This window comes from Homo sapiens, chromosome 20, assembly GCF_000001405.40.
Source record: "Homo sapiens chromosome 20, GRCh38.p14 Primary Assembly".
Taxonomy (NCBI): Eukaryota; Metazoa; Chordata; class Mammalia; order Primates; family Hominidae; genus Homo; species Homo sapiens.
Window position 1 is genome coordinate 18,198,557 of NC_000020.11, and position 26,150 is coordinate 18,224,706.

The 26,150-nt window shown below is 43.0% G+C and overlaps 1 pseudogene, besides 3 other annotated features; it reads left to right on the forward strand.

Moving 5' to 3' along the window:
* Positions 4,379-4,879: an enhancer, noted in NCBI's record as "H3K4me1 hESC enhancer chr20:18183579-18184079 (GRCh37/hg19 assembly coordinates)". NCBI's record gives its function as "activates a minimal SCP1, AML or CMV promoter by ChIP-STARR-seq in primed H9 embryonic stem cells {active_cell/tissue: H9 hESC(primed)}" and the evidence as "EXISTENCE:reporter gene assay evidence [ECO:0000049][PMID:30033119]".
* Positions 16,354-16,854: an enhancer, noted in NCBI's record as "H3K4me1 hESC enhancer chr20:18195554-18196054 (GRCh37/hg19 assembly coordinates)". NCBI's record gives its function as "activates a minimal SCP1, AML or CMV promoter by ChIP-STARR-seq in primed H9 embryonic stem cells {active_cell/tissue: H9 hESC(primed)}" and the evidence as "EXISTENCE:reporter gene assay evidence [ECO:0000049][PMID:30033119]".
* Positions 16,855-17,355: an enhancer, noted in NCBI's record as "H3K4me1 hESC enhancer chr20:18196055-18196555 (GRCh37/hg19 assembly coordinates)". NCBI's record gives its function as "activates a minimal SCP1, AML or CMV promoter by ChIP-STARR-seq in primed H9 embryonic stem cells {active_cell/tissue: H9 hESC(primed)}" and the evidence as "EXISTENCE:reporter gene assay evidence [ECO:0000049][PMID:30033119]".
* Positions 21,504-22,706, forward strand: GGCTP2 (GGCT pseudogene 2; annotated as a pseudogene).
* Positions 22,707-26,150: the final 3,444 nt, after the last annotated feature.

Below are 26,150 nucleotides of genomic sequence, written 5' to 3' on the forward strand. Positions count from 1 at the left end.
ATTGCTAAAGGTTCAATTAAATGAAAAGATATGTCCAGTGAAGGACATTAGGCTCCAAGTGGGATAAAAAGAAAAAGCCTGATCTTAGAAGGTCTTGAGGAAGCAAGGATTGTTGGCAACATGGGCCCTTGAGATTAAGCCTTAGGCTATGGCCTCATGCCTCTGAGTACAGTAGTTGCTTACCACTGAGGAGCAGACACTACTCAGCTCTTGCAGAGCCAGTGCTAGGCTGGGCTTGGTAAAAACAGCAAAGGTCACAAAGCATTAAGCAGACAATATTAGGTGCTAAAAATACAAAAATAACGGAAGCTCCCATTTCTGAACTCCTCTTTCTCCAGCAGCCCTATGAGGTGGTCCTGTAATTGCCTCTATTTTATGAAGAGAAAACTGAGGCTTCAGAGGTTAAGTAACTCCCCAAGGATGCACAGATAGTAAGCAGAAGATAGCATCTAAGTCCAGGCTAGAATGGGCCTCTCAGCCAGCCCCCTCCTTGTCTGCAGAAGTGAGTAAGATGTAGGAGGAAAATCATCCAAGGCCAAAGAGGCCCTTGAACCCTGGATAGGGACTCATGATTCAGAGCCCAGCCATATACTTCCCATTCACTTTGCTGGTGGGACCTCTAACTTCTTGTTTAGATATTTGATTGCTGGTCTCCCAAGTCAAGTTTCTTAATCTGAGGTGGTTGTATGCAAAGGCAAGTGTATATGAGTATGAGAGTATGAATGTATTTCTGGGGAGAGGGCCTGAAGCTTTATCAGATCTTCAAAGGGGTATGTGAGACAAATAGTAGTAATTAGCCCTGTTTAGATGCAGACTCGAGGCCGGGCGTGGTGGCTCACACCTGTAATCCCAGCACTTTGGGAGGCCAAGATGGGCAGATCACCAGAGGTCAGGAGTTCAAGACCAGCTTGGCCAACATGGTGAAACCCCATGTCTACTAAAAATACAAAAATTTGCCAGGCATGGTGGTGGTTGCCTGTAATCCCAGCTCCTCCTTGGGAGGCTGAGGCAGGAGAATCATTTGAACCAGGGAGGCGGAGGTTGCAGTGAGCCAAGACTGTGCCACTGTACTCCAGCCTGGGCAACAGAATGAGACTGTGTCGCCAAAGAACAAAACAAAACAAAAAACAGATGCAGACTCAAGGAAGAAACTTTCTAGAGCCAGCTGGGTAGTTGGGATAAAGGTACAAAGGGAACGACTCACCAAACAAATTTAAAATGTTTATTTTAAATTTTGACATAATATCAGGCTTAAGGAAAAGTTGCAAAAGAGAACAAAGAATTTCCAGATACTCTTTACCCCAGTTCTGTAAATGTTAATATTTTATACATTTGCCTCTCCCTCCTCTCTTTCTCACACATGCACACTCACTCATACACACAGACACTTTTTTTTTCTGGACAAGTTAAAAGTAAGTTGCAGATATCATGCTCATTTTACCCTTAATATTTTGGTGTGTATTTCTAAAAGCAAGGAATGTTCTTACCTAACCACAGTACAATGATCAAAATCAGGGAAATCAGTGTTAATATGCTGTTATCCAATCTATAAATCAAATTCAGATTTCACTAATTGTCCTACTACTGCCCTTTATGGCAAAAGAATATCCAAGATCCAGTGTTGCATTCAGTGGCCATGCTGCTTTAATCTATAATCAGGAACTGTTCCTGAGTCTTTTTTGACATTGACATTTTGAAGAGTACTTGGCTAATTTGTAGAATGTCCCTGAATTTGGGTATGTTCGCTGTTTCCTCATGCTTGTTGAAATTTGTTTTTGTGACCTAACATATGATCTATCCTGGAGAAAGGTTCATATGCTGAAGTGAAGAATGTGTGTTCTACAGCAGTTAGATGAAATGTTCTGTAAATATCTGTTAGGTCCATTTGGTTTAGAGTGCAGTATAAGTCCGAAGTTTCTTTGTTGATTTTCTTTGTAGATGACCTCTCCACTGAGTGAAGGGTGGTGAAGTCCCCAACTATTATTATATTGGAGCCTATCTCTCCTTTTTATTTTCTCAAAATGCATTTTCAGACCAATGGAACTTATCTCTTAAGCTCTAATGATATTTATTTTATATCTCTAGGTTCTCTGGTGTTGGATGCATATATATTTATAATTGTTATATCCTCTTGCTGAATTGATCCCTTTATCATTTATATAATGGCCTTCTTTGTCTCCTTTTATGGTTTTTGACTTAAAGTTTATTTTGTCTGATATAAGAATAGCTACTCTTGCATGCTTTTGGTTTCCATTTGTGTGGAATGTCTTTCCATTCCTTCACATTCAGTCTTTGTGTCTTTTCAGGTGAAGCGAGTTTCTTGAGGGCAGCATATAGCCAAGTCTTGACTTTTTTTTTTAAATCCATTTAGCCAGTCTATATATTTGATTTATTTATTTATTATTTTTTTGAGATGGAGTTTCGCTCTTGTTGCCCAGGCTGGAGTGCAATGGCACGATCTCAGCTCACTGTAAACTCTGCCTCCCACATTCAAGCAATTCTCCTGCCTCAGAATGTTGGCAAGTAGCTGGGATTACAGGCATGCACCACCTCACCCAGCTAATTTTGTATTTTTAGTAGAGATGGGGTTTCACCATGTTGGTCAGGCTGGTCTCAAACTCCTGACCTCAAGTGATCCGCCTGCCTCTGCCTGCCAAAGTGCTGGGATTACAGGCATAAGCCACCATGCCCAGGCAGTCTATATTTTTAAATTGGGAAATTTAAGCCATTTGTCTTCAAGGTTATTGTTGATAGTAGGTGAGAACTTACTCCTGTCATTTTGTTAATTGTTTTTTGATTGGTTTGTATATCCTTTGTCCCTTTCTCCTTCTCTTGTTGCTTATCTTTGTGATTTGGTGGTTTTCTGTAGTAATCATGTTTGATTCTTTTTTTATTTCCTTTCACTTGTGTATCTGCTGTACCAGCAAATTTTGGACTTTCATGTGTTTTTATGATGATAGGTATTGTCTTTTCACTTCCAGATATAGGATTCCCTTAAGCATTCCTTGTAGAATTGGTCTAGTGGTGATGAATACCCTCCATTTTTCTTGTGTGGGAAAGACTACTACTCCTTTATTTCTGAAGGATAGCTTTGCTGGGTATATTACCCATGGTTGGCAGGTTTTTTCTTTTAGCACATGGAATATATCATCCCATTCTCTCCTGGACTGTAATGTTTCTGCTAAGAAATCTGCTGTTAGTCTGAAGGGGCTAATATGTGACTTGATGCTTTTTTGTTGCTGTTTTTTTAGCATTTTCTCTGTCTTTGACATTTGATAATTTCACTGTAATGTGCCTGAGAGAGGATATTTTTGGGTTGAATCTATTTGAGGATCTTTGAGTTTCCTGTGTCTGAATGTCTATATCTCTTCCAAGACTTGTGAAGTTTTTGACTATTTCATTAAATTGGTTCTCTTTGCCTTTCCTCATTTCTTCTCCTTCTGGAACTCCCAAAATTCAAGTATTTGTCTGCTTGATGTTTTCTCATATATCATGTAAGCTTTCTTCATTAACATTTCTTTTTTTTCCTTTATTTTTCTTTCTTTTTGACTGACAAGTTATTTCAAAAGACTTGTCTTCAAGTTTAGAAATTCTTTCTTCAGCTTGATCTAGTCCATTTTTGAAGATCTTATATTTTTTAATTTCATTTATTGAATTATTCATTTCCAGGATATATGTTTGCTTCTTTTTATATGTATATATCTGTCTATCTGTTTAATTTCCCATTCAGATTGTGAATTGCTTTTCTGATATCTTTGTTTTGTCACCCGTGTTCTCTTGCAATCTCCATGTGTTCCTTGAGATCTTTATTTTGAAATCCTTTTCAAGCATTTAATAAATTTTCTTTTCTTTGCGTTCTGTTACTAGAGAATTATTTGTGTGTGTGTGTGTGTGTCTCTGTGTGTGTGTGTGTGTGTGTTTGGAGGTGGTGTGTTTCCTTGCTTTTTCATGTTTCTTGTGTTTTTATGTTGATAGCTGTACATCTGATGTAACAGATGCTTCTTCCAATTTTATGGAGTAGCTCTCATAGGGAATTACTTTTTCCTGTAGATGTATCTGTAGTGTCAGTGGGTAGGGTATTTTGCCTTTAGTTCTGGGTGGGTACCATAGTGTAGTCTTCATATTATTTATTTGACCGTATCAATGCCAGTGGTATCTGTGAATGCCCCAGTGGCTTTGGCTACAATTTGTGAGGTTGTGGTGAGACTTTGCTGGGGACTGGGGTGACCAGTAGCTAGGCTGGCTGGTCCTCAGGCCCTTGGGCAAGGTACATGGGCAGTAGAGCCCCTGGTGGGTCAGTCCTCAGGCCCCCAGGTGGTGGGGAACATGGGTGGCAGTGGCAGCAGGCCTGGTAGGCTTGTCCTTGGACCCCCAGGGGGCAGCCACTAGTGGGGGCAGCAGTGGGTCCTCTGTCAAGCTAGTCCCTAGGTGGAACATGTGAGCACTGGCAGTGGCAGCATGGGCCCCTGGTGAGCCAGTCCTCAGGCACATGAGCAGAGAAGTGGCAGCAGTGGGCCAGGTGGGCCATGGGTACCAGCCATGACAGTGGCATGGGTACCAGCAATGGCAGCAGCAGACTCTGGGGAGGTCTGTCATTGGCTTTCAGGTGGTGCATGCACATGGGTATACAGCAGCTCCATTGCTGGACAAGCTGGGTCTCTGCCAGTGGCAATGGCCCTGGGCAGGCAGCTCTCAGTCTCTGGGGAGTGCATGCCTCTGCTCTCTATGTCCTGGGAGCAGCCTCCTTGATGTGCTGGACTGTTTGTTCCCAGGATATAGTGCACTGTGTGGGCTCAGGTACCCAGGAACATGGCCACATGGCTGAATCCAGTTGGTGTCACAACACTTCTGCACTCTGAGGAGATGTCAGCAGGGCCCTAGAAATCAGGACCTTTACTTTTTAGCACACACAGTTTTTAAAAATTTATAATTCAACCCAGTTTATTATATTTACAATTTCCTACGTTTTAAAGTATTGAATAGATGACTTACGAGGTACAAAATGAATTTTCAGAGCAAAGTTGGAGAACTTTCACTTCTCGTTTTCTCTTTTTTTTTTTTTTAGATGGAGTCTTATTCCATTGTCCAGGCTGGACTGCAGTGGTGTGGTCTCAGCTCACTGCAACCCCCACCTCCTGAGTTCAAGCTATTCTCCTACCTCAGCCTCCTGGGTAGCTGGGATTACAGGCACCCGCCACCACGCCTGGCTGATTTTTTGTATTTTTAGTAGAGACAGGGTTTCACCATGTTGGTCAGGCTGGTCTCAAACTCCTCACCTCAGGTCATCTCCCCTCCTTGGCCTCCCAAAGTGCTGTGATTACAGGCATGCACCACTGCACCTAGCCACACTTCTCATTTTCAAAACTTAACTACAACGCTACAGTGATCAAAGCAGTGTGGTGATGGCATAAGGACAGATCATACAGAACAATGGAATAGAATTAAGAGCCTAAAAATAAACCCTTATAATCAGCTGATTAATGAGAAAGGAATAGTCTTTTTAGAAAATAGTTCTGGGACAACTGGATATCCACATGCCAAATGAATAAATGTGGACTCCACCCCCCCGACCGGCCTACTTCACATCATACAAAAATTAACACAAAATGCATCATAAGCCTAAATGTAAGAACTAATACTATAAAACTCTCAGAAGAAAGCATAGGAGTAAATTTTCATGATCTTGGTTAGTCAGTGGTTTCTTAGATATAATGCTAAAAGCACAAATGATAAAACATTGATAAATTATATTTAATAAAAATTAAAAGCATTCAACTTCAAAAGACATAATCAACAAAGTAAAAAGACAAGCCGCAGACTGGAAGAAAACCTTTCAAATTCACGTATCTGATAAGGTATTTATATCCAGAGTACATAGAGAACTCTTACAACTCAACAATATAAACACCCACCCAGATGGGTTTACAGGTGAATTCTAGCAAGCATTTAGGAAATAAATTATAGTAATTATTTTACAATCTATCTCTCAGAAAATAGAAGCAGAGGGCCTACTTCCTAACTCATTCCTGAGGTCAGCATTACCCTAATACCAAAACCAAATACACTGCAAGAAAACTACAGATTAGTATCTCTCATGAACATAGGTGCAGGAATTCTCAACAAAATATTAGCAAGTTGAATCCAACAATGTATAAAAAGAATTATAAAAGACAACCAAGTGTGATATATCCAGGAATGTAAGGCTGGTTCAGCATTCAAAAATCAGTTAATGCAATTCATCATATCAACAGAACAAAGAAGAAAAATCACACGATTATATCAATACATGCATAAAAAGCATTTGACAAACTTCGATACCCATGCATGATAAAAACTCTCAGCAAAGTAGGAATAGATGGGAATTTCCTTAACTTGATACAGAACATCTACAAAAACTCTACAGCTAAAATCATATCTAATGGTGAAAAGCTAGAAGTTTGTACACTAAGATCAGGAACAAGGCAAGGATGTCCTCTTCCTTTCACCACTCTTTTCAATATTGTACTGGAAGTCCTAGCTCATGCAATAAGATAAGAAAATAAAACTTTGTTTACAGATGACGTGATTACCTATGTAGAAAATCCAAAAGAATAAATAAAAAACTCCTGGAATTAATAAGTGATTATAGCAAGGTTGCAGGATATAAAGTTAGTATACAAAAGTCATTCACTTTCCTATATATTAGTAATGAACAAGTGGAATTTGAAATTTAAAAAACACAATGTTATTTATATTAGCAACCCCTAAAATGAAATACTCCGGTACAAATCTAACAAAATGAAAGGTATACAGACTGTGAAGGAAGATATAATGCTGTCTTTGTTTGCAGATGTTATGATTATTTATGTTGAAAATGTGAGTAATAAAGAAAAAGGAAAAAAACAAAACTCCTGAAACTAATAAAGTGATTATATCAAGGTTGTAGGATACAAGGTTAATACAAAAAAAAGCCAGTCACTTTCTTATATACCAGCAATGAACAAGTGGAATTTGAAATTAAAAACACAATACCATTAACACTAGTACCAAAAAAGAAATACTTAGGTACAAATCTAACAAAACATGTACAAGATCTATGTGAGGAAAACTATAAAAGTCTAATGAAAGAAATCAAATTACTAAATGGGAGCTATTCCATGTTCATGGATACTGTCAAGATGTCACCTCTCTTCAACTTGATGTACAGAATCAATGCAGTTTCAGTAAAGATGCCAGCAAGCTCTTTTTTATTATATTGACAAATTGGTTCTAAAATTTACATGGAGATGCAAAAAACCCAGAATAGCTAGTTTGAAGAAGAACAAAGTCAGAGGACTGACACTACCCAACTTTAAAACTTACTATAAAGTTACAATAATCAAAGCAGTGGTATTGACAAAAGAGTAAAGAAATAGATTAACGAAACAGAATAGGGAGCCCAGAAATAGACCCACATAAATATAGTCAGCTGATCTTTGACAAAGGAGCAAAGGCAATACAATGGAGCAAAGATAGTCTTTCCAACAAAGGATGCTAAAAGAACTTGAGGTCCTATACTTTTCATAAAAATTAACTCAAAATGGATCAGAGATCTACATGTAAAATGCAAAACTATGAAAGTCCTAGAAGATTACATAGGAGAAAATCTAGATGACCTTGAGTATGATGATGACTTTTTAGATATAACACCAAAAGTATGATTAATGAAAGAAATAATTGGACTTCATTGAGATTAAAAATTTTGCCTTCTCATTACAAATGAGAAGGCAAGCCACAGACTAAAAGATATAATTGTAATAGACTTATTTAAAATATTCAAATAATCTTAAAACTTAACAAAGAAGATAGATATGGCAAATAAGCATATGAAAAGATGCTCAACACCACATCATTAAAGAATTGCAAATTGAAACAATGAGATACAACTGCATACCTTTTAGAACATTTTAGGGGAATCTCAGTGTTTCTCATTTACTTAAATAAGTTCTTGCTACAGTTTTGGTGGTAATCCTCACAGGAGTCTGAGGGGACTGATTGCATCTGGAGAATTTGTGGGGAAGCCTCGGAAGCTTATTTCATGAATTATTAGAGTGAGGAGGGAGGTTGAGGGAGGGAGGGAAAGAGAAGGAAGAGACCAAGACCAAGAAAAAACAACCCAAAGGCAGGTCTTGTCGTATCTTCTAGTCCCTCGGCTGGACCTCAACCAACCCCCAGTGCTCATCTCTGAGCACTAGGAGGAGGGACTGTAAGGAAAAACTGGTCACCTGTTCTCTTTCTCTGGAGGCCCTTTGTTCCAGTTGCACAGCCTGATTCGCTCTTCCATCTGCTCCCATTAGTCAACGAAGGCCTGGTGTCACCATCCCAGGAACCTGGCTTCTTTCGCTGGGCTCCCTCCAGTCAGCAACACCAGATTGCTCTTTCTTCCCACTTAGCCCTGCCCCCTTTTGAATCTCATATAAAGTTCTATTTTCTCTTCTAATTCTCAGGTTATTTGCATTACAGCCACAGGTGTGGCTGTAAAAAACTTGGCCTTTGGATTGTTTGGGCTTGAATCCTGTATTTGCTACCTGTGGTTCAGTTTCCCTACCTGTTAAAAATATTTCTTTTGTTGTGAGGGGTATGTGAAGTACATACATGGCGCCTCGTAACTGGTGGGCACACAACAATGGTGGTTATCCTCAGGAGTAGAGAGTATCCCAAACAGTGTGGGGCTGGAACTGTGTAATTCTTCACGTTCACTGCACAAAGCACCAGGTTCCTGGGTTCCTTCCTCAGAGAATCTCATGTAGTTGGTCTGGGGTATAGCCCTGGCATAGGGGTTTTTAAAAGTTTCCCAGACCAGATGATCCTGACAGATGGCCAAGACTGAGAACCATAGGTGTGCGGGACTAATCAAGGATGGAAATCTCTTTGTGCACTTTATCTAACCCGCCTCACCCCCTAGATCCTATGCCTTTGCTTAGCCCTGGTCTTGACCCCCAGGCACACTGTGCCTCCAATGCTGGACAGGCCCTCATTTCACTTTCTGAAGTGTATTTCTTTCTCCAAGCCCGAAGGCCTGTCTGAACATTTGGTAACTGACCTACTCAGAATGAAGCAGGACTCACTTTGTCTTTTTTAGGTAGAAGCTGACTCCGTGTTGGATTACATTTTTTCTCACAATCACTTTTTCTTTGGTATCATATTGGTGCTTATCCTTTTCCTCCCTGAATTTCTATAGACAGAAGACCAGACTCACTGGCTTTCGTGCACTAAAAATCTAAACCACTGGAGTTTACATGGAGGAGCCCAGGTGTAAATTAATGTTTGGGCAAAGCAAGGCTTCTCCCCAGGGTAATCAAAATCCCCAGGGCTAGAGATAAGGAAGGGAGGGGTGAGGTAGGAAGAAGGCTGTACAGCTGAATTAGGTAGGATGCTTTAGGCTGCAAGTAATAGAAATGCCAACTCAAACTGGTTTAACCCACCATCAATTATTGTCTCACCTAGCATATGTCCAGAGGCAGTGTGTCCCATAGTCACATAGCTTGTTAGCTTATTAGCTGTGTGGCCTTGTGCAACTGACTTAGTCTCAATTTCCTCATCTGTGAGAAGGATTGTTGCATATCAAATTAGATAATATAAGCAAAATTCTTACAGCACTCTATAGCATAAAGTAAGTGCTTTATAAGTGTTAGCAACTGTATTGGTCAGTCATTGCTCCATAACAAACAAATGCAAACATCTCAGTCTACAACAATTGGTATTTCCTTCTCATGTGTCTACAGGTTGGCAGGATTTGGTTGGGCCACTCTAATTCAATCTGTGTGTGGCTGGGCATGGTGGCCTATGCCTGTAATCCCAGCATTTGGGGAGGCTGAGGTGGGTGGATTGATTGAGCCCAGGAGTTCGAGACCAGCCTGGGTAACATGGTGAAACCCCATCTCTACAAAAAAAAAAAAAAAAAAAAAGCCTGGCATGGTGATGTGTGCCTGTAGTCCCAGCTACTTCAGAGGCTAAGGTGGGAGGATCACATGAGCCCAGGAGGTCAAGGCTGCAGTGAGCCATGATTATGCCACTGCACTCCAGCCTGAGTGGCAGAGAGAGAACCTGTCTTAAAAAAAGAAAACAGAAAAAAAAAAAAAGACTCACAATCTGTGTGCTGCTGGGTTTAGCTCTTGTGCTGATGGGCTCAGGTTTGCCTCACACATGTTCCTTCTGGTCTCATGGCAGCACTACAACAGGCACCAGAAGAATGCTTTCCCACAGCAATAGTAGAGGCACAAGACAGTGGAAAAACACAAGGCCTTGGTCAGGAACTGGGACATTGTCCCACACGCGCGTGTGTGTGTTCGTGTGTGTGTATGCACACATACAGGGCAGAAATTATGAGTGAAAGAGACAGGGATGGAGGAAGGAATGGGGGAAGGAGGAGAGGAGTAGGTAAGGAAGGAATGCACGTCAATCTGAGTAAAGGGTATATAGGTATTCTTTGTACTGTTTTTATTTTTGCAACTTTTCTGTGTTTACAGTTATTTCCAAATAAAAAATAAGCAGAAAGGAAAAGCTAATCATCTCCCCCTATTCCAGTCCCCCAGGCATGTATCCTTCCGTAGCTTCTCCACACCTACACGAACCTAGACGATTCCTTCCACACCTTCCCCACACCCACACGAACCTAGATGAATTCCTTCCACACCTTCTCCACACCCACACGAACCTAGACGATTCCTTCCACACCTTCCCCACACCCATTCTCCACACCCACACGAACCTAGACGATTCCTTCCACACCTCCACACCCACACGAACCTAGATGAATTCCTTCCACACCTTCCCCACACCCACACAAACCTAGACGATTCCTTCCACACCTTCTCCACACCCACACGAACCTAGACGAATTCCTTCCAGACCTTCTCCACACCCACACAGACCTAGACGATTCCTTCCACACCTCCACACCCACACGAACCTAGACGAATTCCTTCCACACCTTGTGCACACCCACACGAACCTAGACGAATTCCTTCCACACCTTCTCCACACCCACACGAACCTAGACGAATTCCTTCCACACCTTCTCCACACCCACACGAACCTAGACGATTCCTTCCACACCTTCCCCACACCCACACAGACCTAGACGAATTCCTTGCACACCTTCTCCACACCCACACGAACCTAGACGAATTCCTTCCACACCTTCTCCATACCCACACGAACCTAGACAATTCCTTCCACACCTTCTCACACCCACACAAACCTAGATGAATTCCTTCCACACCTTCTCCACACCCACACGAACCTAAACGATTCCTTCCACACCTTCTCCACACCCACACACACCTAGATGAATTCCTTCCACACCTTCCCCACACCCACACAGACCTAGACGAATTCCTTCCACACCTTCTCCACACCCACACGAACCTAGACGATTCCTTCCACACCTTCTCCATACCCACACGAACCTAGACAATTCCTTCCACACCTTCTCACACCCACACAAACCTAGATGAATTCCTTCCACACCTTCCCCACACCCACACAGACCTAGACGAATTCCTTCCACACCTTCTCCACACCCACACGAACCTAGACGATTCCTTCCACACCTTCCCCACACCCACACGAACCTAGACAATTCCTTGCACACCTTCTCACACCCACACAAACCTAGACGAATTCCTTCCACACCTTCTCCACACCCACACAAACCTAGACGAATTCCTTCCACACCTTCCTCACACCCACACGAACCTAGACGATTCCTTCCACACCTTCCCCACACCCACACAGACCTAGACGAATTCCTTCCACACCTTCTCCACACCCACACGAACCTAGACGATTCCTTCCACACCTTCCCCACACCCACACGAACCTAGACAATTCCTTCCACACCTTCTCACACCCACACAAACCTAGATGAATTCCTTCCACACCTTCTCCACACCCACACAAACCTAGACGAATTCCTTCCACACCTTCCTCACACCCACACGAACCTAGATGATTCCTTCCACACCTTCCCCACACCCACACAGACCTAGACGAATTCCTTCCACACCTTCCTAACACCCACACGAACCTAGAGAATTCCTTCCACACCTTCACACCCACACAAACCTAGACGAATTCCTTCCACACCTTCTCCACACCCACACAAACCTAGACAAATTCTTATACACTTAAAATGGGATTTTGTTGTTTTATTAAAATGCAGTCATTCTCTATGCATTAATTATTGTGCAGCTTGATTTTTCTCCTTTTTTTTTGTTAAATCTTCCTCCGTCATCCAGGCTGGAGTGCAGTGGCGTGATCTCAGCTCACTGCAACCTCCACCTCCTAGGTTCAAGTGATTCTCCTGCCTCAGCCTCCTGAGTAGCTAGGATCACAGAGTTGTACGATAATGCCTGTCTAATTTTTGTATTTTTAGTACACACGGGATTTCACCATGTTGGCCAGGCTGGTCTTGAACTCCTGGCCTCAAGCAATCTGCCCACCTTGGCCTCCCAAAGTGCTGGGATTACAGGCATGAGCCACCGCATCTGGCCGATTTTTCTCTTCACAATACATCATAGACATCCCTTCAGGCCAAAAGACATAGATTTAATTTACTTTTAAATAGAGCTGCATAGTATTCTACATGTGTGTAAGTATCACAGTTTCTTCAACCATCCCTTATTGGTTGATACTCTGGCAGTTTCCAGTTTTTTGCCTACAAATAAAGCAGCAAACAGTATGCTTGCACATATAACCTGTTGTATTGGTGCCAAATCCATGAATCACTTCTGAAAGTATAATTTTAATCAGAGTCAAGTAGCACCACAGATCCTCCAAGATCCATTCTGCTCAACACTCTTCCACAGTGGCTATTAAGGCTGGTCTCCAGCTGTTCACACCTTATGTCCAGTGCATGCAAGCCTGGCATTTTTCTGGAGGGCCAGCAGATCTTCTAAGAAGCTGGGCACACCGAGTTTCTCCTTGAACGTGAAGAGACTATTGAAACCTGTCTGCTATCTTTTGGTAGGTCCCTCATATTTGGCAGGTGAGTCCAGTATTACTATATGTTCACCAAACTTCACAGAGCCCTTCTCATCTCACTCATGAGCGTCTGGTAATTATAACTTTAAAAAGGTTTTGTTAGGGCTGGGCGTGGTGGCTCATGCGTGTAATCCCAGCACTTTGGGAGACCGAGGCGGGCAGATTACCTGAGGTCAGGAGTTCAAAACCAGCCTGGCAAACATGGGGAAACCCCATCTGTACTAAAACTACAAAAATTAGCTGGGCATGGTGGCGGGTGCCTGTAGTCCCAGCTACTCAGGAGGCTGAGGCAGGAGAATCACTTGAACCTGGGAGGCGGCGGTTACAGTGAGCCCAGAACATGCCACTGCACTCCAGCCTGGGCAACAGAGTGAGACTCTGTCTCAAAAAAAAAAAAATGTTTTGTTAGAAGTTTTAGGCAGGGCCCAGGCTTCTGTAGTGGGGGGCCACATATGGTCCACAAGTGGCTGATTGGATGCTCAAGTGGAGTCCATTTCCAGCACAATTAATTTGGCTGAGATCATGGTTTTGATTTTCACATGGGACACACTGCCTCAGGCCAAGAATAATAATGAACACTTATGGAAAGCTGCCTCATTCAGGAACCCAATTAAGCACTTTTACAAAGACCATCTCATTTAATTTCCTCCACAACTCTGTGAAGTCTAAGAGTTGTATTACCCCATTGTTTCACTTTTCTATTACAACAATAATTCTGTATAAAAACACCCCAAAACCTAGTGGTTCAAAATCACCACCTATTATTTGCTTGTGGTTCTGTGAGTAACTGAGGCTGGGCTCAACTGGGCAGTCCTTCTGGTTTCTGCTGGGCTTCTTCCTCTTGTGTCTGTGGCCAGCTACAGGTCAGCAAGGCAACTTGGCTTCTGGGAGTTGGCTGGCTGTTGGCTGGAGAGATGGGAATTTTTGTTCTGTGTGGTCTCTCAGCCTCCAACAGGCTAGCCTGGGCTTATTTACATGTAGGGGGGTGGAGGTGGTGTTGAGAGTGGGAGACAGGTGGAACAGAGAGAGAAAGGCAACAGAAAGGCCAAGGCTTGTGGAGGTCTGCCTCAAAACTGGCACAACATGACTTTGCCACATTCTTTAGGCCAGAACAAGTCAGAAGGTCAGCCCAGATTTAAGGAGTAGGAAAAAAGACACCACATCTTGAGAGGAGCTGAAAAGTCACACTGCGAAGGGCACGAATACAAAGCAAAGTGGCCGGGTGCTCTGGCTCACGCCTGTAATCCCAGCACTTTGGGCTTTGGGAGGCCGAGGAGGGCAGATCGCCTGAGGTTTCAAGTTCGGGACCAGCCTGGCCAAGATGGTGAAACCCCGTCTCTACTAAAAATACAAAATTTAGCCAGGCATGGTGGTGGGTGCCTGTAATCCCAGCTACTTGGGAGGCTGAGGTACGAGAACCTCTTGAACCTGGGAGGCAGAGGTTGCAGTGAGCCAAGATGGTGCCAGTGCACTCCAGCCTGGGTGACAGGGCAAGACTCTGTCTCAAAAAAAAGAAGAGAAAAAGTTTGTGGCCATTTTTGTAATTTACTTTGCTGCCTCCTGTTTTTGTAAATAAAGTTTTATTGGGACACAGCCACACCCACTGGTGTATGTATCATCTATGGTTCCTTTCATGCTACAGTGGCAGAGTTGAATAGTAGCAATAGTGACCACGTGGCCCGCAAAGCCTAAAATATTCCCTGTCTGGCCCTTTCTAGAATACATGTGCTGCCCCCTGCCCTGCCCTGAGTTCTCTGAAGCCTCTATCCACATGGCTATGCTGTACCTTTAATGCAAACTGCCCTGACCTGGGGAAAAATGGTTTCTGTGGATGTTGTGTGTTTAAATGCCTGGACTAGTCTCCTCTCTGTGTGAAAACACCCTTGACTCCCACAGATTTCCTTGGCCTTCATGGTGATCCCTGTGGGCCCAGTCTTTGGTAGTCCTTTGCTTGGAGGAGGTGGCATGGGTTTGAGCTTCTGATCTTTAAGAGTAGGGACAGGTAAGACGAGAGCAGACAGGCCCTCTGGGAATTCAAGGCCCACACAGAGAGAAGCTGCCTGATGCCTGATCCCTCCCTGCCACGCAGCCGGGCACAGTCACAAAACAGTCCTGTTTGAAGTGGGTTATTAAGTATTGGCCCCAGGGCCAGGCCCTGGTAAGCCTGCCATTTCATCCAGCACTTTTCACCAAGCTTGCTGTTGAAGATTACTCAGGAAGGCGCCAGAGACACGATGATGAGATCCAATTATTATTTAAATCTAGAGCTGGTCTTAGCAGGCTGAGGTTTACTGGGAAATAGACCATAACAAATAGAAGTATTGATGAGTTTGGCCGGGCGCGATGGCTCACGCCTGTAATCCCAGCACTTTGGGAGGCCGAGGTGGGCGGATCACGAGGTCAGGAGATGAAGACCATCCTGGCTAACATGGTGAAACCCTGTCGCTACTAAAAATATAAAAATTAGCCGGGCTTGGTGGCGGGTGCCTGTAGTCCCAGCTACTCGGGAGGCTGAGGCAGGAGAATGGAGTGAACCCGGGAGGCGGAGCTTACAGTGAGAGGAGATCGCGCCACTGCACTCCAGCCTGGGTGACAGAGAGAGACTCTGTCTCAAAAAAAAAAAAAAAAAAACAAAAAGAAGTATTGATGAGTTCAATGTAAAGGGGAAAAAGCTCAGTATTTATGTACTTAATTGGAACCACCTATACTATGTATTAAGCCAAAAGAACAAGATTCAGAACAGCATGTGGTTTGCTACCATTTATGTTAAAAGAGGGCAGGGGTATTATATTATATTATATATTTTATTATATATGCAAATAATGCCCCCTAAAGATGTTCACGTACTGATCCCCAGCACCTGTGGCTGTTACATTACATGGATGGCAAGTAGGTATTAAGTTTGTTAGCTGACTTGAGATGCAGAGGTTAGCTGGGGTTATCAGAAGGCCCATTATAGAGTGAAAGAGGGAGGCAGCCCCAGAAAGATTACACCCGCCATTGCTGGCTTTGAAGATGGAGGAAGACAGCCAGGAGCTGAGGAATGCAGGCAGCCTCCAGAGGCTGGAAAGGGAAAGTCCTTCCTGCAGTCTCCAGAAGGAGCGCAGCCTTCCTGACCACACCTTGATTTGAGCTCACTGAGCCCCATTTCAGACTTCAGGCCTCCAGGACTGTGAGATAATGAATTTGTGTTAATGTCAAGCCTTTAGGTTTGTGGCAATTTATCACAGTAGCAGTGGGAAGCATATATATATATATATAGTCTCACGTGTGTCCATGTGAAGACACCACCAAACAGGCTTTGTGTGAGCAACACGGCTATTTATTTCACCTGGGTGCAGGCGGGCTGAGTCCAAAAAGAGAGTCAGCAAAGGGTGGTGAGATTATCATTGGTTCTTATAGGTTTTAGGATAGGCGATGGAGTTAAGAGCAATGTTTTGGGGGAGGGGGTGGCTCTCACAAAGTACATTCTTAAGGGTTATAAAGATTATAAAGAATATTGATCAGTTAGGGTGGGGCGGAAACAAATCACAATGGTGGAATGTCATCAGTTAAGGCTATTTTCACTTCTGTGGATCTTCAGTTGCTTCAGGCCATCTGGATGTATACGTGCAGGTCACTGGGGATATGATGGCTTAGCTTGGGCTCAGAGGCCTGACATATATATATATATGTAGCAGGAGGTTCTCCTCAAGCAACTAATCTCTAGGCAATCAGCCTTACTGTTATTTTATTTGTTTGTTTTTGTTGAGACGGAGTTTCGCTCTGTTGCCCAGGCTGGAGTGCAGTGGCACAGTCTCAGTTCACTGCAACCTCTGCCTCCTGGATTCAAGCGATTCTCCTGCCTCAGTCTCCTGAGTATCTGGGACTGCAGGCACGTACCACCACACCCAGGTAGTTTTTGTATTTTTAGTAGAGTCGGGGTTTCACCATATTGGCCAGGCTGCTCTCAAACTTCTGACCTCGTGATCCTCCTGCCTTGGCCTCCCAAAGTGCTGGGATTACAGGCATAAGCCCTTACGGTTATTTTAATAAGCCCTTACTGTTATTTTAATAACTGACTTGCCAAGTACCGGGAAAAATCCTCCTTGTCCAATAGCATTAGGAGGCTGTTCCTTACCAAGGGCCATGTTGAGTTTTAAAGCTCAATATGTAGTAAGGCCAATCTCCAGATCTTCACTATTCAAAGTGTGGTCATCGCCTGAGGGCTTTTTAGATATGCAGGGTATCAGCCCTACACCAGTCCTTCTGAATCAGAATCTGTACTTTAATAAGATGCAGTGATTCGTGTGCACACTAAACTCTGAGAAACACTGATCCAGCCCATCTTCCTTGCCTAGGTGCATTAAAAGAATACCCCACACTCTTTAATCAATATGAAAATAAAGGCATGATTATTTCCGCCAAATTTTTCTTTCTCCTGCCTCCAAATTGTTCTCTGTTGCCACATAAGAGTCTCTTCCCCCTTCTTTTGGCAAAAATTCAAATGATCATCTTCAGAAGTCACCTTTCTCCTGATAACTTCCGATCACTTCTGTTCATGTCTCCCACAGCAAATTGTCCTAAGGAATTAACACACTTTCCCTTCTCCTTGTGAAGAGACAGCCTGAGACCAGAGACTGCCCCTTCTCCTGATGAGAAGATAGCCTGAGGCCAAAGACTGTCCCTTCCGTGTCCCTCCCTACTCCTCAAGCAGAGCCTCCACTCTTCAAACTTAACGGTCTCAACTGATTTCCTCAATGACTTGATTTCTGTACGGACTTTTATTTGTGACATCAGGTTTCCCTAAACATCCAAGGGCATACTGGGCTCCTTAAATGACCTCACCCAACTATGACGTGGCACGAGGTGAAACAGTTTCCCAAAAGAACGCTTGTGCCTCCAGACCAGAATTGTCACACCTGAAGTTGTTTATTTGAGCAGCCTTGTCATTGGGCTTTCCAAAGCAGGCTTTGTACAGTGGCCACACCATGGTCTTGCATGATACTTGAATTTGGAAGGTTCCTGGTAGACGTAGAAACGGCCCAGACTGCCTGTTCAGAGCTAAGCATCATGGTAAGTTAAGGTACATTCTCTCCTAGTACACCTTGAGTTACCTAATAAAATAATCCAGAGCAGCCAGGCATGGTGGCTCACACCTATAATCCCAGCACTTTGGGAGGCCAAGGTGGGTGGATCACGAGGTCAGGAGATCAAGACCACCCTGGCCAACACAGTGAAACCCCGTCTCTACTAAAAATACAAAAATTAGAGGGTGTGGTGGCGAGTGCCTGTAGTCCCAGCTACTGGGGAGGCTAAGGCAGGAGAATTGCTTGAATCCGGGAGGCACAGGTTGCAGTGAGCTGAGATCACGCCACTGTACCCCAGCCTGGTGACAGAGTGAGACTCCGTCAAAAAAAAAAAAAAAAAAAGATCTACAGCTGAGCCTCCAAGAAGTAGACTGAGGGTTGCATTTTCTTCATCTGACATTTGAAACTGCCAGTGAAGTAAGGAAGGGCAGCTCTTTTCCACAAGCAAACATTACCTCTCTATGTCTATCTTGTAGTGGAGACCTCAAATGTGTCTGTCTTGGTAAGAATTCAGGAAGCAGTAGAGCTAGGTACCTGTGGTAGATATCACTAGAAACTTCAATTTCAACAACGTGGTGAGTAGGATATAAGCTGTTGAGGTTCTGTGGCCATATCCCCACCCAAATCTCATTTTGAATTGTAGCTCTGACAATTCCCATGTGTCATGGAACGGACCTGGTGGGAGGTAATTGAATCACAAGGGCAGGTCGTTCCCATGCTGTTCTTGTGATAGTGAATAAGTCTCACGTGATCTGATGGTTTTATAAAGAGGAGTTCCCTTACACAAGAGCTCTCTTTGCCTGCCTCCATGTAAGACGTGACTTTGCTCCTCCTTCATCTTCTGCCATGACTGTGAAGCCTCCCCACCCATGTGGAACTGTGACCCAGTTAAACTTCTTTCCTTTATAAATTACCCAGGCTCGAGTATGTCTTTATCAGCAGTATGAAAAAGGACTAATACAGCAGTTAACATGAACAACTCATACTCCAGAACATTCCACCCTAGATTTTCAGAGTAAAATCCAAGAGAACAGTGGAATCATAAGGGTGGGAGAGAAGTTCACGGGGCAGGAGGGGACCAAGACTGGGACAGTATATTTCATGGTTATATTTCTACAAGGATTACACTGGGGCTCCTCTTCCTTAGTACTGACCTTAACCGTTCAGATCACGATTAAAACATTTCTTATCATCCCAAGGCCTATGGATTTGGGAGCCCCACAACAGTGTAAAGCCCTGAGTTAACAAAATATCATCATTTATAAAAGCTCTAAACTAGGCACAGCAACCGTATTTTTTTGGTTTTGTTTTTTTTAATCCAGATTCAGAAATTAGAAGCCTCTTTTTAAAATTGAAATGGGCCCAAGTGGTTAAGTCATGTTACTTGGCTCATGTGCCTATTGTTCTTGCTATGAAAACTAGCAACTTGTGGCAATGAACATAAAGCTTTTTTTTCCAATAGCTTTACTGAGATACAATTTATGAGGCATAAAGTTTACCCATTTTAAGTGTAGAAGTCAATGGTTTCAAGTGTATTTATGGAGTCATGCAACCATCACTGTCATTCAATTTCAGAATGTTTTCTTCCCTCCATGAACCCACTAGCAGATTCGCAGTCACTCCTCATGACCACCCCGACCCACTCGGGTAATAGGGAGCCTTTGACTAGCCATTCACTCCATTTCCAAACAGTTTTTCATTCAAGGGCAGTGTAATTTTCACAGCATTGAACAAAACTTTCACCGGAAAGAGACAGAGGCAAAGCACCAGGCTGAGCTCCTCAGAGAAACTTGCTCTTTTGGTTACACTTACTTCATCCGCAGCTGCTCAATCAGAGACTCTCCCTGCCCCTGGCAGTCCAACTTCCCTCAGCAGGAGTCTGTTTTCAGGCTGCAGGGCTACAGAATGTGGTCATTCCCCCCACCTTAAAATATTCACATAAAGCAAATGCGTCCTCTCTGGGTAAATTCTGAGCCACGGGGGCAGGCGAATGTGAGTGTGTATATGTGTGCGCATGTGTGCATGGGAGTGTGTATGTGTACATGTGTGTGGTCGCCAACAGTTTGCAGCACAAACATTCACATCGAATGTAAATCTTGCTGGTCTCCAAAGCCCTCACCTGGGGAAAGTCACCATACTGACGTTGTTTTACATTATTAATGACAGGGATGCAATGAGAAACCTTAGAAAAATCCAGAAATATCTGAAAGCTCAAACCCCACAGTAGTGTTATGAATATTTGTAGGCAAAGCACTCAGTTCTACAACTTATTTTGCACACTTCTTATAATTCATATAATGCATTCAATATCAACTTATGGGTCCACATGTCAGCTTGATTATGCTGAAGAGCAAGTGAACCTCTAAACCAAACTTTTTGTTCAGAAGGAAAAGCTCATCCAAGTTCTTCCTGTACTTGAGGAGCCAACTACCACTATCTTTTTGAAACTTGACAAGTGGTAATTTGTCCAGGGATTTAGCTATCAAGCCATCGAATCACAGAAGCAGTATCAGCCAAATGATGCCATAAACTGTTCTTTTTGATCATAAGACTGGGTTTCAGATAATTATCATGTAATGTATACACTACACGTTTTGTTTCAGTAGCTCAATTGCAATTTCTAATGGAGCTTTAAAAAATTGATACATCATGGCCTGGTGAGGTGGCTCACACCACAATCCCAACACTTTGGAGGGCTGAAGTGGGGGATTGCTTGAACTCAGTCATTGGAGACCAGCCTGCACAACATAGCGAGACATCATCTCTACTAAAAGTAAAAAATAATTAGCCAGATGTGATGGCATGCACCTGTAGTCCCAGCTACTCAGGAGGCCGAGGCAGGAGGATCTCTTGAGCCCAGGAGATCAAGCCTGCAGTGAGCTGTGATCGCACCACTGCACTCCAGCCTGGGCAACAAAGCAAGACTCTATCTCAAAAAAAAAAAAAATCATTACATCAGGTAGCTGATTTCTAGAGCAAACAAAAAGTTTAGGGGTCCCACAGAGTGCTATAGCCACGTGTGTCAGACTGTCACTCTCCATCACCCTCTCTGTGCGCTCCTCTGACTCTCTAAGGGGCCAGCTTGACCCCAGCCCTGGACAGGGCCCACAAGGAGTCATAAGACAAGATGGAATTGGTGGCAGAGGTTCCAGTGAACCCAGATCGACCCATCACACTCCAGCCTGGGCCACAGAGTGAGACCTGTCTCAAAAAAAAAGATTGTTGTTGAGGCTGAACACAGTGGCTCACGCCTGTAATCCCCCCACTTTGCGAGGTCAAGGTGGGATCACTTGAGGCCAGGAGTTTGAGACCAGCATGGGCAACATAGTGGAGCCCCATCTCTACAAAAATTTTAAAATTGCCCAAAACCCAAGGTGGCGGCGTGGCCATCACTGGCCAGGATCACGGGCACAGTCCTGCGCTCTGTGGTGGCTCCTCACAGCCCTGCTCCAGACTCCCGTGCAGGCATCTAGTGGGACACGGCAAACTCAGGCTGCAAGGACATCCGGGCCCAGATGAGGAGAGTTTTCTGTGCTTCCCCTACGACAGCAACCTGCTGACTGAGAGATCCACCTCCAAAACCCCTCGGTGGTGTTCTTCTACATGGCCCGCCTGCAGGCAAGAAGTGATGGAATTTATGTTGTCATGGAAGTTAATGTTTCAACTCAAGAAGAGAAATAACCTATCGACATTATCTGATGACAAATTACAAGAGTGTTTCCCATCCCCACAGTATAAAAAGGTTATTTGCATAGGTGCAAAAGAAAATGGTTTGCCACTGGAGTACAAAAAGAAGTTAAAAGCTGTGGGACCAAATGACCGTACAGGAAAGGTCTCAGAAGAAATTGAAGACATCATCAAAAAGGAATCACGAACTCATTAGAACATAACAGAATATATCTAAGGATATTCCATGTACTAATGTAAAATACCATTTGAAAACAGGGATCTGGAGGATCTCCATGTTTGATCCATCTTCAACCGTGCTCTGAAGAAATATCGCACGTGGGTGATTCTTGTTTTCAGACTATAAAAATAAACTGGTTTAGGAGTTAAGCAATGTTATAAAAGAGGGTGATTACCTAGCACTTTGGGAGGCCGAGGTGGGCGGATCACTTGAGGTTAGCAGTTCGAGACCAGCCTGGCCAACATGGTGAAACTCCATCTCCACGAAAAATACAAAAATTAGCCAGGTGTGGTGGCACATGCCTGTAATCCCAGCTACTCAGGAGTCTGAGGCAGGAAAATCGCTTGAGGCAGAGGTTGCAGTGAGCCGAGATTGTACCACTGCACTCCAGCCTGTGCGACAGAGTGAGACTCTGTCTCAAAAACAAAAAACAAAAAAACAGAAACAAAAACAAAAAAAGAGGACGATGAGGCCCTGGAATGTGTGACAAATGCATGTGAGTACCCCTTCGGTAAACACTTGAAGCTATTATTCTCTTGAGTTGATCTTCAGTGTTTCCTTGTTCTGGCAAAGGATAGATTTGCAGCTTGCTTGATGATGATACTGATGGTGCTGGTAAATTGCTCTGCTCTGGGTTTTAAAAAAATCAGCTTAATGAGAGTAAGTAATCTGCAGACAATTGATAATAACATTTTGAAACTGGAAAGATGGTATACTGTTTTTAGAGGAATAAATCTATTTGTGGTTAAAAAAATAAATAAAATTAGCCAGGTGTGGTGGTGGCGTGCATCTGTACTCCCACATACTCAGGAGGCTAAGGTGGGAGGATGGCTTGAGCCCAGGAATTCAAAGCTGCAATGAACTATGAATGCACCACTGCATTCCAGCCTGAATGACAGACAGAGACTCTGTGTCTAAAAAAAACCCCAAAAGCCAAAACAAAATAAAAAAAATGTTTGTTGAATGCATAATAACTTTTGATACTTTCCCTCAAAATGCAAGTTAGGAAATGAAGACACAGAACATCCCTCCCTCTGTTTCTCCTGAGTGCATTCAGTGCATCCCCTCAGTCTATCCTGTGCATCTGATTTATTTGAGAGGCTCTGCTCTGGGTGGCCCCACTGAAGACAGAGCATTTACCCCACTCAGAGTTTTCAAAAAGTTTTCATATGCACTTTCCCATTTGATATTCACAACCTCCCTGTGAGGGCCCATGTATCTATCCCCATCTCATAGACATTCATTGGACCTTGCTGGGAACATAGCCAGGAACCAACAAATGTTAATTACTCTTATTTTTCATGTCTTCTTTCCCATGTCTTCAATTGCCAAGCTACATTAATTAAATTTTTGCCTGTGACACTTTGTGCAATGAAACAAAGGTTGTAAATATAAATCAATTAATATTTGTTAGACACTTACAGGCTTGCAATGCCCCAGCCACCATATAATAGATACCAATCAGTAAATAAATAAATAAATAAGGAAGAAAGGGCAGCTTTTGCTTATGGAAGAATTATAATTAATATGTGTAGAAGGAATGAGGAAAATAGAAAATCACTGAGAAAAGCACAGTAATAATTGTTGGACTCACCAATGAATTCTAAAAGTATTCAGCAAAAGTTTGAGGAAAAACAGGATATTTGCAGACTCAAGTGTGTTCCCCAAAATGTTTATTAATTACAAAGAGAAATATAGTAATTTCAGAGCAGACAAATCCAAGCAGATCAGGGAGACATGACTACAAAGTTTAGTTTACTTTATATAAAACAAATAGGTTAAAGAAATATCAGCAAACATTTTTGTCAGTTTTTCCCCAAATCAGATGTTTCACAGATGTGCCATCTGATTGTAGGGAGCACTTATAAGCCCCAAAAATATTGTACCAATGAGGTGAGTGATAATTCCCATTCTTACTGAATTTCTTCTTGCCTGCCGGCTGGCTTCTCTAAGGTTTAGCCAGTTTTTTATTTTATGCTGTGTAATTTCTCCTTTACATAGATTATATGGAAACATCTCCATACAGTGAAGAATCATAAATTCCTGTTTCAGTAAACTCCAAATTAATAACTTCTAAAGATTTTATTTACCTGACAATTGAATATAATTCAGCCTGATATTGACTTCATAAACATCATCATGGATAGTAGAGAAAACATGCTATCAGAGAAATTAAACTGTTTTCACAATCCTGGGTTTGAAGCTCACTGACCTGAGCAATTGCCTAGAAAATCTGAGATTCTAAATTTTAAATTTAATCAAATATTTTATGAAACCATAAGAACGCAAGAAAAAGGGGATACTGAGAAGCAAAAATCAAATGAAACAAAAAAAAGCAAATAGCAAAATAGCAGCAACTCAAACTATATTAATAATCACATCAAATATAAATGGACTAAATAGTCAAAAGGCAGAGATTATCAAACTAGTTATAAAAGTAAGAGCTAACTATATACTGTCTATTAGAGATGCAATTTAAGGTTAACCAACCCACATGGCTGAATGTCCTTACTTGGGAAAGAATATCCTAGAATGGCCACATCTTGGGAACTGAGGGACACATTATCAAAATTGAGCAGATTTCTGTAAAAGTAAAGGGATTCAAGGGAAGGGGACCTACACTTTACCTCTTGATGGGAGGAGAATCAAAAAATTTGTGGCCATTGAAAAAAACTGTTACAAGGGTAAAACTACCTATGTATACATTGGTTATGAGGATTAGAATTGAACGTAATGCATGTATTGGACACATGAACGAGAGGTTACTAGTATAATTATTATGGCTGTTAAAATAGTGAATGATTGGAATGCAGTCTGGTCAGGTTGTTTTTTTAGCTTTAACCATCAGAACTTCAATATCATGTGGCATCTCAGCAGGAGATGTTCAGTAGCTTATTGCCTTGGGTCAGGTGCCCCAGAAGCAGACTCTTAATTGCAGAGTTGAATGTAAGCGACTCATTAAGGACATGCTCACAGGAAGGCTGATGTGGAAGTAGGGATGGGCAAAGCAAATGTATGCTTTCAGGCAAAGTCCTGTGGCTCCAGCGTGATCCTACAGGGGAACTCAGGAGTGTGAGTTATGCCTCAGAGTTTCCCTGACTCCAAGCAAAGGAAGTGGGCTGTCACACGCCTGCATCCTTCAGACTTTGGCCATGAACTGCCCCAGATAGAGGATATAAACTCACAGGCACTTCTAGCAACCTGAGTGTGGAAAAAGTGGCTCCAGTAGCCCGAGAAAAGACTTCCAAGAAGAGTCTCTGGTGTGAGTCGTGGGGTGCATACTCAAGGGAGTACAGACAAAACAGTTAAAGGGATCTGCAAGGGTCTGGCCAGAGCCCTGGCAGTGTCTACTGCACTTATTAATATTTATTATGCTGAATAGACATTAGGTTGGAGACTCTCAGCTAACACCCAGCTTGCCTGCTACAGGGCAGGGTCTTCTTTCATGTTTGTTAGGAAAGAAATCTAACATCTTGACGGGCCACCATGTGTGAGGCCACACAATAAACAATTTAAAAAACACGACCTCATTCACTCTTTAGATGGCCTTAGGAAGAGAGTTTCATATCCTTCTTTGAAGGATGAAGAATGCTCTAGAGAGACTTAGGATCTTGCCCAACGTCAAGTAGATAATAAATGGCGAAGCTGAGATTTGTACGCATGTGTGTCTGGCTCCCTGGCTGTTTCCTGAGAACTTGCTTGGGAAATAGAAAACCTTTATGAAATCCTCAGAGACCCTGAAAATTGTCTTCTCAAAATAATTTTACAACAAACTACAGTGAACCTATGTCCATTGCTGCTGTGTTCATTTTCTAGAGCTGCCATAACAACAAACTGGGTGGCCGAAAACGATGGAAATTTGTTTTCTCACAGTTCTGGAGGCCAGGAGTCCAAAACCCAAGGTGTTGGCACAGCCGTGCTCCCTCTGAGGGTGCTAGGGAAGGAAATGCTCCAGGCCTCTCTCCCGGCTTCTGGAAGCCTTAGTCTTTCTGGGGCAGTAGCTGCTTCACGTGATCCTCTGTAATCACACAGCGTTCTCCCTGTGTCTCCACACCATTGCCCTCTGCATGTATGTTCAAATTTGCCTTTTTTACAAGGGTACCAGTGACCCCATCTTAACTTAGCTAAATCTGCAAAGATTCTATTTCCAAGTAAGCTCACAATCTGAG